At 47.4% G+C, this 17,345-nt stretch overlaps 1 protein-coding gene across 1 annotated transcript, besides 3 other annotated features; it reads right to left on the bottom strand.

Annotated features, from left to right (window-relative positions):
• On the bottom strand, positions 573 to 10,262 carry FAM210B (family with sequence similarity 210 member B). Its single transcript, NM_080821.3, has 3 exons — positions 10,045 to 10,262; positions 3,974 to 4,149; positions 573 to 3,165 (listed from the first exon to the last, which is right to left on the bottom strand). The coding sequence occupies exons 1-3, from the start codon at positions 10,228 to 10,230 to the stop codon at positions 2,949 to 2,951; spliced, it is 579 nt and encodes a 192-aa protein (NP_543011.2). The 5' UTR covers positions 10,231 to 10,262; the 3' UTR covers positions 573 to 2,948.
• Positions 5,763 to 6,263: an enhancer, noted in NCBI's record as "H3K4me1 hESC enhancer chr20:54938029-54938529 (GRCh37/hg19 assembly coordinates)". NCBI's record gives its function as "activates a minimal SCP1, AML or CMV promoter by ChIP-STARR-seq in primed H9 embryonic stem cells {active_cell/tissue: H9 hESC(primed)}" and the evidence as "EXISTENCE:reporter gene assay evidence [ECO:0000049][PMID:30033119]".
• Positions 6,830 to 7,019: a silencer, noted in NCBI's record as "fragment chr20:54937273-54937462 (GRCh37/hg19 assembly coordinates)". NCBI's record gives its function as "represses an EF-1alpha promoter that drives an FKBP-Casp9 reporter gene in an ReSE screen in K562 erythroleukemia cells {active_cell/tissue: K562}" and the evidence as "EXISTENCE:reporter gene assay evidence [ECO:0000049][PMID:32094911]".
• Positions 9,986 to 10,585: a silencer, noted in NCBI's record as "silent region_13057". NCBI's record gives its function as "represses an Ori minimal core promoter by ATAC-STARR-seq in GM12878 lymphoblastoid cells {active_cell/tissue: GM12878}" and the evidence as "EXISTENCE:reporter gene assay evidence [ECO:0000049][PMID:35858748]".

The raw sequence follows: 17,345 nt of genomic DNA, 5'->3' as shown, positions 1-17,345 counted from the left end.
TTATATATTTGTCATATCTTTGTCATCTGTCCATCGACTAAAGATACGGTGAAAGTGACTGTGATGAAGGAAAAGTAGAAGTGTTGAACTTAGAGCTAGTAGAGAAATCTGCTTGCATGGCCAATGCTCAGTGCAAGAAACTGGACAGCAGGTATGTCAGGATATGTCATAACAAAGTGGCCAATATAGAGAAACTTAAAAACATGACTCAGTAAAACTGCAGCTGCCAGCCCCCTTGGGACAAAGGGGCTTCTGGTTCTCATAGTCTTGAGCTGAACTGACTTTGACCTTCCCAAATAGTTCATGTGCCACCCTCCCAAGCTATAGTTATTATCACGTGACTGACTTTCCCAGTGACACCAGTGAGACTTGGGACGTTTCCCCAGACAATCCCACACAAGCAAAGAAAAAGCTCATTGTAGTAGCACATTAATACACTGGTCACAGTGCCACTTCATCATCAGCAACAACCATGGCTTACCAGAAGGAATATAAAAAAGTTCATAAACTATAAAGATGTTTCACAGAATTTAAGCTGCTCACTTTGTCAGATAAATTAGAGAAACAATGGCTTTCATTTTTAAAATAGATGTTTTATTCTGCTAGTTCCATAAAAACAATGTAAACACAGGCGTTCTGTACATCTTGCTGGTGAATTCACATAATGCTTAGTTCCCTGATCCTTTGACCTCCTTGTCTTCTCCGGTTATTTTCTGTTTGGACCCCTGGCCACAGGAGTGGAGTGGGGTTGGGGCTTAGGAGAGAGCAATGTGGCTTTTTGGTATGATTTGTTTTATTGCTTGCCCGCTCAGCACGCTCCTGTTACTCCTAACAAAGTTTGAGATTTAAGCCCTTAAACCTGTAGGTTTCACCATCAGTTTTTCTTTTTTTTCTTTTTTTTTTTTTGCATAGGCATTACTAGGGACATAAATGGGAGACTGGCATAGAAAGTGGTGAGGAGCCGAAGCCAAGGAATTGCTTTAAACACAAGATGAAAATACTCTGTTCTGTCCAAAGCATCACCTAATGGTGTGAGGCATCTCACTTAGCTGTGGAGAAGTCCTTGGAATTAGATCTCAGAAAGACAGCTTTAAGACAGTAAAACCTTTTGGCAATGGGCTAATTGCCTTAAAAGAAGAGTTCTACCTGAAAGACCTTGCAGGTGGAGAAATTGTCCTACAAAGATTCTTGGATATGTTAGTGGAGATAACTGACATGGGTAGCTGTGGGTCAACCAGGAACTGTCAACAACCTGATCTCTGCAAAACCAGGATGGCCAGTTAATGGTTTATTCAGTTCTCTGATGGTCACAAATGTAATTTTATTTAGCCTTGTGGAGGTTCTGCAACAAATGTAATTTTAAAGGAATTAGGAGCCAGAAAGATAAATGCAACTCCTTCAACTACGTGACAGGGCAGACTGGTGAATCTGGGTTCCCAGAGTGTGGAGCAAGTGCCCTGCATCAGAGAATGGCCCAGGGGGAACGTGCATGATGCTGAACCCCGCAGGACAGAATTACTTCAATCGCCTGCTCCTGACTACTATAAGGACGAAGCCTCAGTGTCTCAGTTTGGATCTACGCTGGGATTTCTTTCTTTTGGAGACAGTGTCTCCCTCTGTCGCCCAGGCTGGAGTGCAGTGGTGTGATCTTGGCTCACTGCAACCTCCACCTCCTGGGTTCAAGCAATGCTGCCTCAGCCTCCCCAGTAGCTGGGACTACAGGCGTGTGCCACCACACCCGGCTAATTTTTGTATTTGTAGTAGAGACGGGGTTTCATCATGTTGGCCAGGCTGGTCTCGAACTCCTGGCCTCAAGTGACACGCCTGCCTCAACCTCCCAAAGTGCTGGGATTACAGGCGTGAGCCACCGCACCTGGCCTCTATGCTCGAATTTCTACTCTTAGCTAATCTCTCTAACACATATGCCCTTCATTGGGTAAAGCTGGCTCAGCAGACTAATTACACCTGTCATGTAATACAAGCCTCTCCCTGGCTTGTATTATCTCATGGTTGCCTTCTATTTGTGACAAGTGCTATGAATATTCCTTTTTAAGAAGTGATACAAAATCTTTTTTTTTCTTGAACAGGATTTTTAACTCAGACAGTGTAAACATCATGACAATTCTGGAATGTCTGAAGTTTGAGATAGAAGATTGTCTAAGAAAAGCTGAGATTGTCTTAGCTGTTTGTGGTATCCGAATTCCTCTGGAACATGGGCATCAGGAACCAAGCGATGCCACTGCTACTGGGCAGGGTTTTTATATTTTACCTAAACAGAGACAAATGACGCTGACCTACCTTAATGAAATTTCAGAAAAACCATCTGGAATCAGCCCCATCATGTCCAGATTGGAAGGTATCTGGGGATCAATGAAACATACCAGAACTACTTTTCTTCCCCCAAACCAATGTAATGAATGTCAAAGTATTGATGCTAATTTAGATTGTGATTACATATTAAGTTTTGCTTCATTAATTGTAGCACTGGCAGCTGTTTTGTGAACGCTGCATATTAAACTGTAGGCAGCTGACAACAAATATCAGCGGAAGGGGATATTTAAAAGCCAGTTAAATTAATCAATGCTTTTTAGGAAACTGAGCCAAGATTAACCCCCTGGTGCTTTTACCCACAGACCCTCGCCAAAGTCTCCCACAAGGAACATTTGTAGGCTATTTTGTTTTGAGATGTTAACCCATCTCCGATGCCTTGCTGACATTTTAGATTATATATACAAGCCCTATAATGAATAGCATTCACAAAATTTATGAGGCAAAAAATTAAAATTGTTCAAAAGCCTGATTTTTGCTGGCAAAGTTTATCCATGAGAACATAGCAATTAGCCCCCTACCTCTCCAAAAGAAACCCTACAACCCTAAAACCCTAAAACCAATCCAAATCATGTAATTTAGAAGAAATAGGTTTTCAGTGTGTACGACTGAAGAGTTCATTAAGGTTTTGCAGCTGGAGGTTTAAAAAATCCCACTTTTCGAAAATATCTGACAATCAAGGGCACAGAGACTAGCGTAATGCTGATTCTCACTGGCGCAAACAGCTTGTGGATTGCATAGGCCACCACGAAGGTACTTGTGCCTGCTGCCATTTTTGACTGTACCAGGGACTCTTTAAATCCGAGTTTCAGCAGGATTGCAGGCATGTCCACACCACTAGGGGGGAAGAAGCAAAGAAAACAATTATTACAGCAAGGGATTAAATGAAGAAATTGATTTGGCTATAAGATTTACAGTATTTTAAAAAATGTAATGAAGTAGCTGAATGAATAAAAGTCTTAGTGGCCAGGTGCAGTGGCTCACGCCTGTAATCCTAGCACTTTGGGAGGCCGAGGTGGGAGGATCGCTTGAGCTCAGGAGTTCAAGACCAGCCTGGGCAGCATAGCAAGACTCTTGTCTCAACACAACAAAAAAACATACAATCGGCCTGACGCGGGGGCTCACACCTGTAATCTCAGCACTTTGGGAGGCCGAGGGGGCGGATCACTAGGTCAAGAGATTGAGACCATCCTGGCCAACAGGGTGAAACCCTGGCTCTACTAAAAAGACAAAAATTAGCCAGGCTTGGTGGCATGCGACTGTAGTCCCAGCTACTCGGGAGGCTGAGGCAGGAGAACCACTTGAACCCGGGAGGCAGAGCTTGCAGTGAGCCGAGATCACGCCACTGCACTCCAGTCTGGCAACAGAGCGAGAGTCCGTCCCCCAAAACAAACAAACAAACAAATCAGCTGGGTGCAGTGGTGCATGCCTGTAGTGTCAGCTACTTGGGAGGCTGAGGTGGGAGGATCACTTGAGCCCAGGGAGGTCGAGACTGCAGTGAGCTGTGATCATGCCACTGCACTCCAGCCTGGGCAGTGGAGTGAGACCCTGTCTTAAAAAAAAAGTCTTAGCAAACACGTTCTTATTCACATAGAATCTTACATGACAGTAAAAAACAAATATTAATTACTGTCAAAAATCTTACCTTGACACAACCATGTAAAATATGCCCAAGGAAATTAATGAGATTCCAATGTGCAATGACACGCCAACAGTGCCATACTCTTGAAAAATCTTTTTCAGTTGCTGTGACTTGCTTTGCTTTTTCTCCTCTGTGCAGCTGACGCTGCTGCCTGTTGTCCCCGTGGCCTGGCTGGGGTCCTGTGTACAAATCAGAGAAGAGGAGGTGCTTTAGGGCAGGCACGGGCAGTCATTACCGGCTTTTATACACGCATGCAATGTTATACTCTTTCCTGCTGGATGAGAGATCAGTTACCCCTTTCCTTTTTCTTTTGAGACAGAGTCTCACTCTGTCATCCAGGCTGGAGTGCAGTGGCATGATTGTGGCTCATTGCAACCTCCACCTCCCTGGTTCAAAGGATTCTTTTGCCTCAGCCTCTCAAGTAGCTGGGATTACAGGTGTGTGCCACCACACCCAGCTAATTTTTTGTATTTTTAGTAGAGATGGGGTTTCACTGTGTTAGCCAGGTTGGTCTTGATCTCCTGACCTGGTGATCCACCCGCCTTGGCCTCCCAAAGTGCTAGGATTACAGGCGTGGATCAGTTACCCCTTTCCTACTCAGTGAGCCGAGTTTGAGCCAACTTAGTCACTAAGTGCAATGCAAGCCTGGAACTAGGTATGGCTGGCAGAATGATGACTCCAAAGATGTCCCAATCCCAGGATCTGTGAATATGTCACCTTACATGGCAGAAGAACTTTGCAGATGTGATTAAGGGTCTTGAGATAGGGAGATGATCCCGGATTACCTGGGCTACATTATTACCAACGTCATCACAAGGGTCCTTATAAGTGAAGAGAGGGAGGCAGGAAACTCAGTGTCGGGGAGGGGGTTGTGAGGACAGAAGCAGAGTGAGAGAGCTGAAGATGCGGTGCTACTGGCTTATGGAGGCAAGGGCCATGAGCCAAGGAATGCAAGCGGCTTTAAGCTGGAAAAGGCAGGACATGGATTCGAGCCCCTAGAAGGACCCATCTCTGCTGAGACCTTGACTTTAGTGCATTAAGACCCATTTTGGACTTCTGACCTCTAGAAGTGTAAGATAATAAATGTGGATTGTTTTAAACCACCAGGTTATGTGCTCATCTGTTACAGCAGCAATAGTAACTAAAACACCAGGGCTCACAAGCTTGGGGACAATGATCCTTTATCAAGCATTTTCTCTGAGCCAGGTGGTCCTCCAACCCTTTCTCCTTCCATCCTCATGCCAACCTTCAGAGGTAGATACTACTGCTTTTCCCACTTTGCAAAGGAGCAACACAGGCTTGCTGAGGTGAGGTCATTGGCCTGATGTCACCAAGATTAGAACCCAGGCCCTCCAAGGCCACAGCCTGAGCATGTGACAACCATGTTATATGCCATCAAAAAAGGACGGTGCGCACAAAATTAATGCAGCAAAAGCGATGGCAGATTTACTCCTAGAATCAAGATTTACACCTGACATCTGAAACACACAAAGTGGGGGCGATTTTTGCACAGTGCCCTACCAGGACTTGTACAGAAATCATGGATTGCATGGGACATCTGCTAACAGTTACTGAGCACCTACCAAGCCTGGAATGTGTGGGAGAAACAAAAATACCAACCTCACCCACATTAGGGGAGGGAAAAAAACCACTTCTCAATAACAGAGCACTTTAATCAAAAGACTTCTCTAAGGACAGTCCTGGGGCTTGTCCCGGCAGGTGATGCGCACCTGGCTGGAGGTCAGCTCTTGTTATGGGCTCTGCAGCTGGCCCACTTTTACCCTGTTATTTTTAGAGGCATAAGATTTTTTAGAACATTTGAGGAAAACCCTCAGTGTCCCGATGACAGGTCCCTTCTGCTGAGCCAGGAGTTGAGCTTCCACTTCAAAGGCGTCATTTCATAAATCCCTCACTGCCTCATGACCCAGGAACCTTTGTCGCTCCTGTTTTGACAGATGGATGACTGAGGCTCAGGAGGGAGGGACGGCTAACTGGCAGCATGGACTGGTGACTGGGCTGGTGACCACCAGGCCTCAGCCTCTGTGGTACTCAGCAGGCTCCCCTTTCCTGTCCTGCCAGAATGACCATTCTTAAAGGAAGACACTTTTCCAGAATGTCCAGGCTCTGGAGGGGAGGAGGGAAGATGTCATCAGCCCCCCTTTCTTTGGCCAGCACATGTGACCTCCCGTTTCCTTGAAGCCTTCTGACTAGTCCTGCCACCCCCGGCCAGGATGGCTGTGGAGGGCATCGGTTCTTCCTGATAAACAAGCCCCACCCACCTCCAGCTGCTGAGGGAGGCTGCAGAGGGGACAGCAGCCAGGTGGTGGGGACTGATAGGAGGCCACCTACAGCCCCTCGCAGGGCCAAACACCCATGCCCTTGACACCTGGCCCCATTCTGTCCAATCACTGGACCGACTGCAGCTGTCTCTGCGAGGGCCCTCTTCTTTATAGTCTTTATTTTGGCAAAAGGACTTTTGGCCAAAAAATAAAAATAAAAAGGCAGCCAGGATTCCAGCTATAGAACTGAGCAGAATCTACTGCAAGACTGTGGTAGGGCCAAGACATTCAGACACAGGGACAATCTCGGGTTAGCTGGCACCACGGTTGGCTTCTGACATTCTAGAGAACACCCAGTTACTGGACAATTTTATTCCTTTTGTTTTGATAAAAACACCCATCTATAAGCACTGTGAGCCACGCATTTTTCTTCCTAACCTTTGGGGAGACTAAAGAAGCTGAAATAAAAGAATTTATGAGGGCGTGACTTGCAGGCAATGGAAAATTTTTAGACATTCATTTCTTCGTGAAACATTGCCGTAAGTACCCGGGATGTGTTAGGCACTGTCCTGAATGCACAGGACGGCGTGACACATCTTCTGTCTGTACTCAGCATGCATGCACATGTGTGTGAGAGTGTGTGTGAGACAGTGTGTGTGTGAGATGCCCCTTCTGCCTCTCCCCAACATTTTTTAAAGTACAAAAACCTGTAATAGAGAGGGGGTAGGAAGGTTTAAAGAATGAGCCAAGGACCTTGCCAAGCCGATCGCAGTGTTTGGAGTGACACCTGTTTTCTTCCACTTGAGAAATCATATTAATAATAAACACTATATTGTGTATATTCTGTACTAGGCACTGTTCTGAGTACTTTGAAAATATTGGCTGGGCACGGTGACTCATGCTTGTAATCCTAACACTTTGGGAAGCTGAGGTGTAGGAGGATTGCTTGAGGCCAGAAGTTCAAGACCAAGCTGGCCAACATATCTTTTATTTTATTATTTTATATTTTTGAGACAGATTCGTGCTCTGTCGTCCAGGCTGGAGTGGAGTGATACGACCTTGGCTCACTGCAACCTCCGCCTCCCGGGTTCAAGCGATTCTCCTGCCTCAGCCTCCCGAGAAGCTGGGACTACAGGCACGTGCCACTATGCCCGGCTAATATTTGTATTTTTAGTAGAGACGGGGCTTCATTATGTTAGCCAGGCTGGTCTCGAGCTTCTGACGTCAGGTGATCCACCCACCTTGGCCTCCCAAAGTGCTGGGATTACAGGCGTGAGCCACCGCGCCCGGCCTCATCTCTAATTTTAAAAAAAGGAAATATTAATGCATATAATCCTCACAACAACCTTGACTACTGTCAACCCCACTTAACAGAAGAGGATCTGAGAAGCCCAGAGAGGTTGAGTAATTTACCAAGGATCACACAGGGATTACTGTCAGAGCTGGGATCCAAACTCGCTGAGTCTGGGTCCAGGGCCTTTGCTCTGAACAACCATGCTATGTTACTCCTCGTGTATTCATGAGTGTCTCCTCTGTGCCAGGCACTGTTCTCAGTGTAGGGGACAGAGCAATGGAAAAAACTGACAAAACCCCACCCTCGATGAGCTTATGGTCTTATGGGAAGGCAGGGACAATAAACAGAAGAGTAAAATACCAGGGCTGCTACCTGTGACAAGTGCCATAGAGAAACACCAATGGGGCGGGAGACAGGGAGTAGGAGGAATGTTAAATAAGGCCATCAGGGAAGGTCTCCCTGAAAAGGTGCCACTGGAACCAGAACTGACGGAGACAAAAGGACACTGGGGCTCTGGGAGAGCAAGTCATCTGCCTGAACTCCCCCTACGTCCCTGGAAGGAATAAGTGGCACAGGCAGGCGGGGCTGCTAGGCGGTTTACAGGACATGGAATCATGTTAAGACAAAAAGGCAGGTCTCTTCTGTGGCTTTCCCTACCCCTCTTACAGAGACCCCCTGCCAAGGCAGCGTGGGTGGGCCTCTTTGGCTCTTAATTAAACACCTGGCAAATTTGGAGAGCCCAGCTGGGCAGCACACTCCTACCTCCCGACGAGGGTGGGCGGCCAGAACAGACGACAGGGGAGGTTCTGGGCTCTGGCCAAGCCCAGACCCTCCCTGCACTGCTCCCAGGCCCTGCTGGGGACGCGTTTTCTCAGGCAGATGAGTTATCTTTTGTCCTAATCTCCTTTGAGGTTCTGATCCCACTTGGGTTTCTGCCGATTTTACCACGGTGCAGAAGAAACAAGGACAGCTCACGGGGCCCTGGGGCCTTGTGACTGTATATATTTACTGCAATTATAGTCATTTCTAACCTTAATTTAGGACACACCAGATGCCAGGTATGAACATATCTCATTTTACATTCATATTCTATGAAGTCTGAATTATTAACGTCCCATTTTACAGATGAGGGGCCTGAGATAGAGAGAAGGGAATTTGATCAAAGTCAACAACAAGTGAGTAGAGAGAGGAATCCAGGGAGTCTGAGGCCAACTCTTTGCCACTGTATACACACACACCGCTCCAGTGCCAGGGCCTGAGCTGGGGACAAGGTCAATGTGGCTGACAGGCAGGACAAGAGGCCATTCCAGATGAGTGCAGAGAAGACCCACAGCCATGGGGTGGAAGCAGGCCCAGTGGAGGCATCCGAGACCTCACAGGTCGTTAGAGAGGGCTTCCCGGAGGAAGGAACAGCTGGGCTGGGCCCTGAAGAATCATCAGGAGGCGGCACGGTGTGTGCAGAAGGTGCCACTCTGGAGAGGATCCCCAAGACCTGTGTGCCACCTGTCGGACTGGAGAAGGCAAGGAAGGAAGTTGATCTGGGCAGGAGGCATGATGAAAGCCTGGGTCCAATCCCCATCCGCTCCTTACTGAAAAGCTAGGAAACGGTCAGGAGATGTTCGCTGGGCCGGCGGCACTCCGCTGAGGCCTGCACCAGCTCATGGAGTTGTCTCCCAAACTCTTGCTGGGAAGGTGCTATTTTTGGCCCTCTAAAGGTCAGAAAACAAGCTCAAAAGCCTTCAGGACTCGGTCTGAGGTCACCGGGCGATGAATGGAGGGGCCCTGTCTGCACCCAGGCAAACAAAGAGGCTCCAGACTGCCAGGCCGGATGCGCTCCGGGCTGGACGCCGGCTCCGCGTGTCTGGGCTTGCCATTCCTGGACCGCCAGACTTCATTTACTACTATTTTTATTTAAAAAGACTCACTTGGAAGAAAGTGATAGATTTCTTGAAAGGAAAGCTGGTATGACTGCTCTGAAGGAAAACCAGTTTTCACTTAGCACCAATGGAAAGTGACGGAAATGAAACATAACAAACAGCACTGTGGGTTTCTTGCCCGCGGCTTCCCTGAGGACGCCTGCTCTTCCACTCAGAAGAAAAGGGAGGAGCAGCGAGCGTCGGGAGGTGTTCAAAACACAGCGAGACCCAGCCAGAAGGCCTGGACAACAACTCCGCAGGCAACGTGTGGAAGTTCAGACCAAGTCAGTCGGCTGCGCCCCAGCCTGGCTGAGGCTCTGCAGACCCGGGGCTCGGCCGAAGACTGCGCGACCTTGGGCAGAGCGCCACACCTTCCCGAGCCTCAGTTTCTCTGGCTGTCAACTAGGAGGATCGCTTCCTTGGCTTGCAGGGATTTGGGGTTTCGGGGACCCTGGAAGAGCTCGGTCCCGGGCAGCTACAAGTGCAAAGGCGTCCTTGGCGGAGGCGGCCGGACCCCGGCGCGGCCCTGCGGACGTCTGGGGACCTGGACACCGCCCGGGATCAGGGTCGGGGTGGGGTGCTTACCTGGTGGCCGCGGCAGTCCCCGCGCGCCGTGCGGAGCAGCCGGGCGTCTAGCCTGGGCGGGAGCAGGGCCAGGGCCAGGGGCGGCGGGGCGCAGGGGGCGGTGGCGCCCAGGAGCCAGGTGGCGCGAGGCCGGACCCGGGCGCCCACCCTGCCTGCCGGACCCAGCAACGCCAGCAACCCGGCCATGGTGCGCAGCTAGGCGCAGCACCCGCGCCGCTGACCCGGGAGGCGGGCGGAGGCCGGGGAGGGTGGGCGGAGCTGACCCGGCGAGGGCCCTCCCCGGCCCCGCCCGCCGGCTTCGCCGCCGCGCGCGCGCGCTGGGCGGGACTGAGGAGGCCTGTGCACATCCCCTTGGCTCACCCGCTAGCTCCGCTCCTCGGGAGCCGGAGTCCAGGGCTGGTGGGCGGGGCTGAAGGAGCGCGCCCCGCCTCCTCTCCGCCCACCAGCCCCGCCCCTTTGGGGGTGGGTGCAGGTCTTTTCAGGGTCTTGGGCTTTCTAACTGTGGTGTGTAGTTGGCGGGTTTCCTTATTCTGCGGGCACAAAGGTGGGCGTAGGGCCGTGGCTTATGAGCTTTTCTCCCTGCAGAAATGGGTGAAATCTGAAAAAAAATTATAGATATGTTTACGTGTTAGCTCCAAAGAAGAAAATAAATATGAGAATTGATATTAGTACATGTTTAATAAAAAGTCCTCTGACCCTCATAGATTGTTGGCGTGAATGTAAAGCGAAAGATGGTGTGGCAGTTTCTTGAAAAGTTAGACATACACTAACCATACAACCCAGCAACTCCACTCCTCGGTAGCTTCTCAAGAGAAACAAAGGCTCGACACTCAAAGACTAAAATGTGAAGACACCAATGTTTGTAGAGATCTTATAAATATTAGTCAACAATTAGGAATGCCCATAAACTGGGACGTACTGTGGCACAAGTCTTCAATGGGACGCAATGCAACAATTAAAGGGAACAGACTACTGATACATGCACAACATAAATGAATCTCAAAGCTCTTATGCCAATTGAAAAAATCTAGGCACAAAAGTCACACACTGGAGGATTCCAGCTACATGAAGTGCCCAGAATAGGCAAAATCACAGAGACCTAAAACAGATCCGTGGTGGCCTAGGGCTGGGAGTGGGAAATGAGATTGACTGCCAAGGAGTGGGAGGAACGTCTTGGGGTGAGGGAAGGATCCTAAACCCAGATTGTAGGGATGGTGACAGCTGTGTAACTAAAACTCGTGGGACTGTACACTTAACATGGATGAATTTTATGCTGTGTAAATTATACTTCAATAAAGATGTTCTGGCTGGGTGGAATGGCTCATGCCTATAATCCAAGCACGTTGGGAGGCTGAGGTGGGAGGATTACTTGAGCTCAGGAGTTCAAGACCAGCCTGAGCAACATAGCGAAACCCTGTCACTACAAAAATAAAAATAAATTAGCCTGGTGTGGTGGCATGCACCTGTAGTCCCAACTACTCGGGAGGCTGACGCAGAATTGCTTGAGCTCAGGAGGTCCAGGTTTCAGGGAGCCACGATGGTGCTACTGCACTCCAGCCTGGGTGACAGAGCGAGACCCTGTCTCTCTAGAAAAAGAAAAAGAAATATATTTTACAAAAGATGTAATATTCTATTAGTCAACTGCAATTCAACTCAACCAAGCTCTTACACAGGCACAGAAATGATATTAAACACATATGCATTAAAAAATATTTATTACATAAGATGGAGTTATAGCTGTGAAAGTAACAGGGTCTGTTGGAGGGAGGTCCTAAAGTGCCCCTGGATGGGAATCCTTCCATTTAAGTGTCTGCAAGAAGCTGGGGAAGAGTGCTTAAGGGTGCAGATTGTCTGTCAGGTTGGCCCTAGAAGTCCAGCTGTGTGATTTGGAAGTAGTGACTCAACTTCTCTGAGCCTTGGTCTTTTCATGTGTAAAATGAAGATAATAATAGTTTCCCCCATGAGATTGTTGAGATAATTCTTTGACACAGTTCTTGGAAAGGGCTTCACTCAGTGCCTGGTGCACAGAGAGGGCACACACGTTAGCTGGGATGTTGTAGAGATGCCTTGCCTGAAGCCCCTCTGTCACCCGGTGACAGTGCCACCTCCAGATGGCATCTGATCTCGACTTCCTCATGGTTCCCATGATTTTCTTTCTTTTTTTTTTTTTTTTGGAGATGGAGTCTCGCTTTGTCGCCCAGGCTGGAGTGCAGTGGCGCGGTCTCAGCTCACTGCAACCTCAGCCTCCCGGGTTCATGCCATTCTCCTGCCTCAGCCTCCCAAGTAGCTGGGACTACAGGCGCCCGCCACCACGCCTGGCTAATTTTTTGTATTTTTAGTAGAGACGGGGTTTCACTATGTTAGCCAGGATGGTCTCGATCTCCTGACCTCGTGATCCTCCTGCCTCGGCCTCCCAAAGCGCCCGTGATTTTCTTGTCACCAGGCCTTCTTCATTCATTTAAGTTTCCTGCCCAGGCTTCATGGGCAGTTGAGTTTGTGATTCATGCTATATGCTTATTAGAGAAGAGAAAAAGGTAATTTTGTTTTTCCCTTTAAATTTGACAGTAAATATAATACTGTAATTATAGACTTTAGGTTCTTTTTTTCTTCTTCTAAAAGTGAAGAAACTTTTGCTTTTAACAAAATGTATTGGAGCTGCTGCCTGCCTGAACTTGTGACAGTTTTGTTTTTTTCTTATTGTGTCAGCTCTCTTTGTCTCTCTAGAGCAGCAGCTCATGCATGAACTATATTTATTTTAATTTCTTCATTTTCATGAATAGATAATGTGTTCTCACGGTTCAGATTTTTAAAGGTACAAAAAGTCTACACAATGACAAGCTTCCTTCCTATCCCAGTGACCAGTTCTCCTCATTTTTTTCTCCCTAGAGACAAACACTGTTACCCGTTGCTTGTGCATATCCTTCTAGAAAATTTTACATGTGTGCAGGCAAATTCCTATGAACGGTTTTCATTGCTGTTTTTACCCAAGTGGGGCATAGTATACACAGTGTTCTTCACCTGGACTTTTTTTGCTTCCATTATATTTTAGAGTTTTCTGAATATGTACACAAAAATCTTCCTTATTCTTAAAATCTGCTTAGCATTCCAGTGTATTCCAGGGTGCTGTAATGCTTTAACCAATCCCTTGTGGGTGGACCATTAGGGTATTTAGGGTATTTTCCAGTCCTTGTGATCATAAACCATGCTGTGATGAACCAGCGGGTATTTCTGTCACTTGCCGTGTTTAAGTATGCCTGTGTAATAAATTCCTCAAAGTGAAATTGCTTAGTGAGAAGATATGTGTATTTGTAAATTTGAATAAATGGCAAAATTTCACTCCATAAAGGTTGCAGAGTACAGCAAATGAGAGTTTTTTGTTTGTTTGTTTGTTTTGAGATGGAATCTTGCTCTGTCACCCAGGCTGGAGTGCAGTGGTGTGATCTCAGCTCACTGCAGCCTCTGTCTCCCAAGCTCAAGTGATCCTCCTGCCTCAGCCTCCTGAGTAGCTGGGACCTCAGGAGTGCACCACCACGCCTGGCTAATTTTTGTATTTTTAGTAGAGACGGGGTTTCACCATGTTGGCCAGGCTGGTCTCAAACTCCTGGCCTCAGGTGATCCGCCCGCCTCGGCCTCCCAAAGTGCTGGACTTACAGGCATGAGCCACTGCGCCTGGCCAAGAGTGTCTATTTACCCCGACTCTAAATGGTGTCTTTAGCAGAGAAATGTAGGACTGACTTTTATGATCTTAACTTGAGAATCTGACATTAAAGGCAGCCATATAAGGCCAGGCGCGGTGGCTCACGCCTGTAATCTCAGCACTTTGGAAGGCCAAGGCAGGCTGATCACCTGAGGTCAGAAGTTCGAGGCCCGCCTGGCCAACATGGTGAATCTCAGTCTCTACTAAAAATACAAAAAATTAGCCGGGTGTGGTGGTACATGCCTGTAATCCCAGCTACTCAGGAGGTTGAGGCAGGAGGTTGAGGAGGAGGTTGAGGCCCCTTGAACCCAAGAGGCGGAGGTTGTGGTGAGCCGAGATCGTGCCACTGCACTCCAGCCTGGGCAACAAGAGTGAAACTCCATCTTAAGAAAAAAAAAAAAGGTCTTCATCCTTGTCATCTTTGCATTGAGCTGGCTGAGGAGGAAAAGGAAGAGGAAAGGTTGTTCTTGCTGTCTCAGGGGTGACAGCGCCTATAGTGACAGCTACTCCGGAGGCTGAAGTGGAAGGATTGCTTGAGCCCAGGAGGCAGAGATTGCAGTGAACTATGATCACACCCCTGCACTCCAGCCTGGGCGACAGTGAGACCCAGTCTCAAAATAAAATAAAATAGTAAAATAAAAAATAATAATTAAAAAAGCAGGCAAGAAGTGCCTTTCAAGGTATTAAAATATGAAGCTGTTTTCTTCTTTTCGTAATCTCTCTCCCTTGAGTTGTCATGGTGATTTTTACTGCCTATTTAACAGTGTCCTTCTATTTTTTTTTTTTCTGAGACAGAGTCTTTCTTTGTTGTCCAGGCTAGAGTGCAGTGGCATGATCATGGCTCACTGCAACCTCAACCACCAAGGCTCAAGCAATCCTCCTGCCTCAGCCTCCTGAATAGCTGGAATTACAGGCGCATGCCACCATATCCTGCTAATTTTTTTAGTTTTTATAGAGATGGGTGCTATGTTGCCCAGGCTGGTCTTGAACTCTTAGCCTCAAGCGATCCTTCTGACTTGACTTCCTAAAGTGTTGGAATTACAGGAGTAAGCCACTGTGCCAGGCCAAAAGGAACTTTTTGAAGGTCACAGGGTTCCATCTGCAACCTTCATTCCTTTGCCTTGTAACATGACACATTCGCAGTTTCTGTGGATTGGGACGTGCACATCTTTTGTTAGGGGAAAGTTATTCTGTCTACCATACTTGATTACTTATGTACTTGAATCTTTTTGTATATTTCTTGGCCATTTGGATTTATTTTTCTGTGAAATTTCTGCTGAAATACTTCGTGCATTTGTAAAGGTTTTTTCTTGTCAGTTCTAAGACTTATACTGACACATGCCATGAAAAAGCCTTATTTGTTAGGTAGTCATTTAGTCTCTTGTTTTTGAGACAGGGTCTTGTTCTGTCACCCATGCTGGGGTGCAGTGGTACAATCTTGGCTCACTGCAACCTCTGCCTCCCAGATTCAAGCGATTCTCATGCCTCAGCCTCCCAAGTAGCTGGAATTACAGGCACGTGCCACCATGTCCAGCTAATTTTTGTATTTTTAGTAGAGACGGGGTTTCACCATGTTGGCCAGGCTGGTCTCAAACTCCTGGCCTCAAGCGATCTTCCCGCCTTAGCCTCCCAAAGTGCTGGGATTACAGGGGTGAGCCACCTTGCCCAGCCTAGTCTTTTATATTGTCTAAGTTTTCAGTTTTGAGCTTCTTTGTGTTCTGGAGCTAAAAGCAGAAGTTGCTTACAGATGGTCCCTCTTGCTATCTTTTGCAGCAGTTTAAGCAAATTGAGGAGAATACTCCAGATGTCTTGGAAGGAGAAAGCCAGAGAGGGCAGTGCCTTTGGGGAATGAGAAGCAGGAGCAGCAGGAGGGGGTGGGTTCCTCCAGTTTAAGGCAGGGACAGTGGTGGGAAGTGGCTTATTCACTTCTTAGAGCTGAATCTCCGGGGGTGTGCAGGGGCACGTGTGTGTGCGTGGGTGTGTGCATGCATGTGTGCGGGCACCTGCTGAGGGGCACAGTGGTGGGACTCTGAGGACCTAGATGGGATAATAGGTTTTGAAATAGTAACTGATCTTAAAATTTTAACATTTTATGATGCAGTTTTAAAAAAACAAATAATGTATAGCATATGTGTATACTTAAGATATACGTAATAACAAAATAGACACCTATTAGCTCCCCCATATCTCAAATCACCCCTTGGTGCCACCATTACTGGTGTAGAGTCCAGACAGAATCATTCTAGAATCTTCTGTCCAGCATGAAACCCCAACATCTTTGCTTGACCCATGGAGGGTGGTGCATGGTACAGGGATGGAATTTTTGGCCATTACAGATTAGATGACTGTGATTTAATTTAGTTTCAAAAAAAAAAAAAATCCTGACTGCTCATACACCACGAAGCTGGTCAATTAGACTTCATGCCCATAACACCCACATGTGCCATTTCATCTCTCTGCACCCTGTAGTGGGCATCTGTAATTGATCTGTAATTGATGTGTGATCAATGCCTGTGGTGGTTAAGAACTATTGCTGTGGTGGTTAAGAACTATATCCCGTAATTTTGTGTGTGTCTTATTTTGTCTGTATCTGGAAGTGTGTTATCCACGTGGCTCTTGGGCTTTTATGTGTCATCCTGGAAAAAATGTAGGAAAATACTATGAGATTTCTGCAGCTGCCCAGCATCTGGTCCAACATAGACTCAGAGAGGAAGGTGAAGTAAGGAGGAAATAAAGAACTACTGACCCAAACTGAGGTGTAGGCAGTACATGTAGCTCGCTTGGGAAGACTTTTAGAGGTGAAAGGCAAAAGAAGCATATGAAAATAGCATCACTAAAGTCTCATGCTTAAGCTCGTTTTTACTTGAAATGGAAACTGAAATATAATTTCTAGAAAGCCACTTTTAAAACCCTCTAATGGCCAAGTAATGAGGTGACAGCATTTTACAAATGAGAAGCACACTTGCGTGGCAGTGAGAGAATAATGTGTCATCAAAGAAAATTAGCTCCATGTCACAAATGCAATTGAGCAATGGCTGAGAGTGGTAATCAACTTTCTTTCTTACAGAAGCAACATGAAAACTTCATTAGAGAAAATCATTTTCCCAAGTCAGACAATCAGCACCAGGAAGTCAGGGAGTCTGGCTTGGCTTGAACTCTCAGATGGACTCTCAGTGGTATTCAAAGGGGGACCATTGACTCTCACCCACTCAAGGCTAATGCCAAATCCAGGGCCCGGCAGAGCTCTCTGGCAGGCAACCTAAAGCTGGTGACTCTCAGCTCCTGGTGTTCATGTACCTGTGTAATCTCCTTCTCTTGGGTCAAGGTTGGGCCTAGATCTTTGCATCTGATAAATAAAATACAGAAAAGTGATGGAATGCCACTACTGTGATGAGGTTACAAAAGATTGTGGCTCCTCCAGTCTTGGGCACCCCCTTTGGTTCTCTTGTCCATGATCTGCCCCATGGAGAGCCCCATGTGGCAAGGAACAGAGAGCAGCTTCCGGGCAATAGCCCGCAAGGACCGGAGGCCTGCTAGCCGCTTCAGGTGAGCTGCTAATCAGATTAACCCTCCCCTCAACCATGTGAGCCTTGAGATAACCACA

Source organism: Homo sapiens, chromosome 20 (assembly GCF_000001405.40).
Source record: "Homo sapiens chromosome 20, GRCh38.p14 Primary Assembly".
Taxonomy (NCBI): Eukaryota; Metazoa; Chordata; class Mammalia; order Primates; family Hominidae; genus Homo; species Homo sapiens.
Note: the sequence above shows the minus strand (reverse complement) of the source record. Positions and strands in the feature narration are given on the sequence as shown.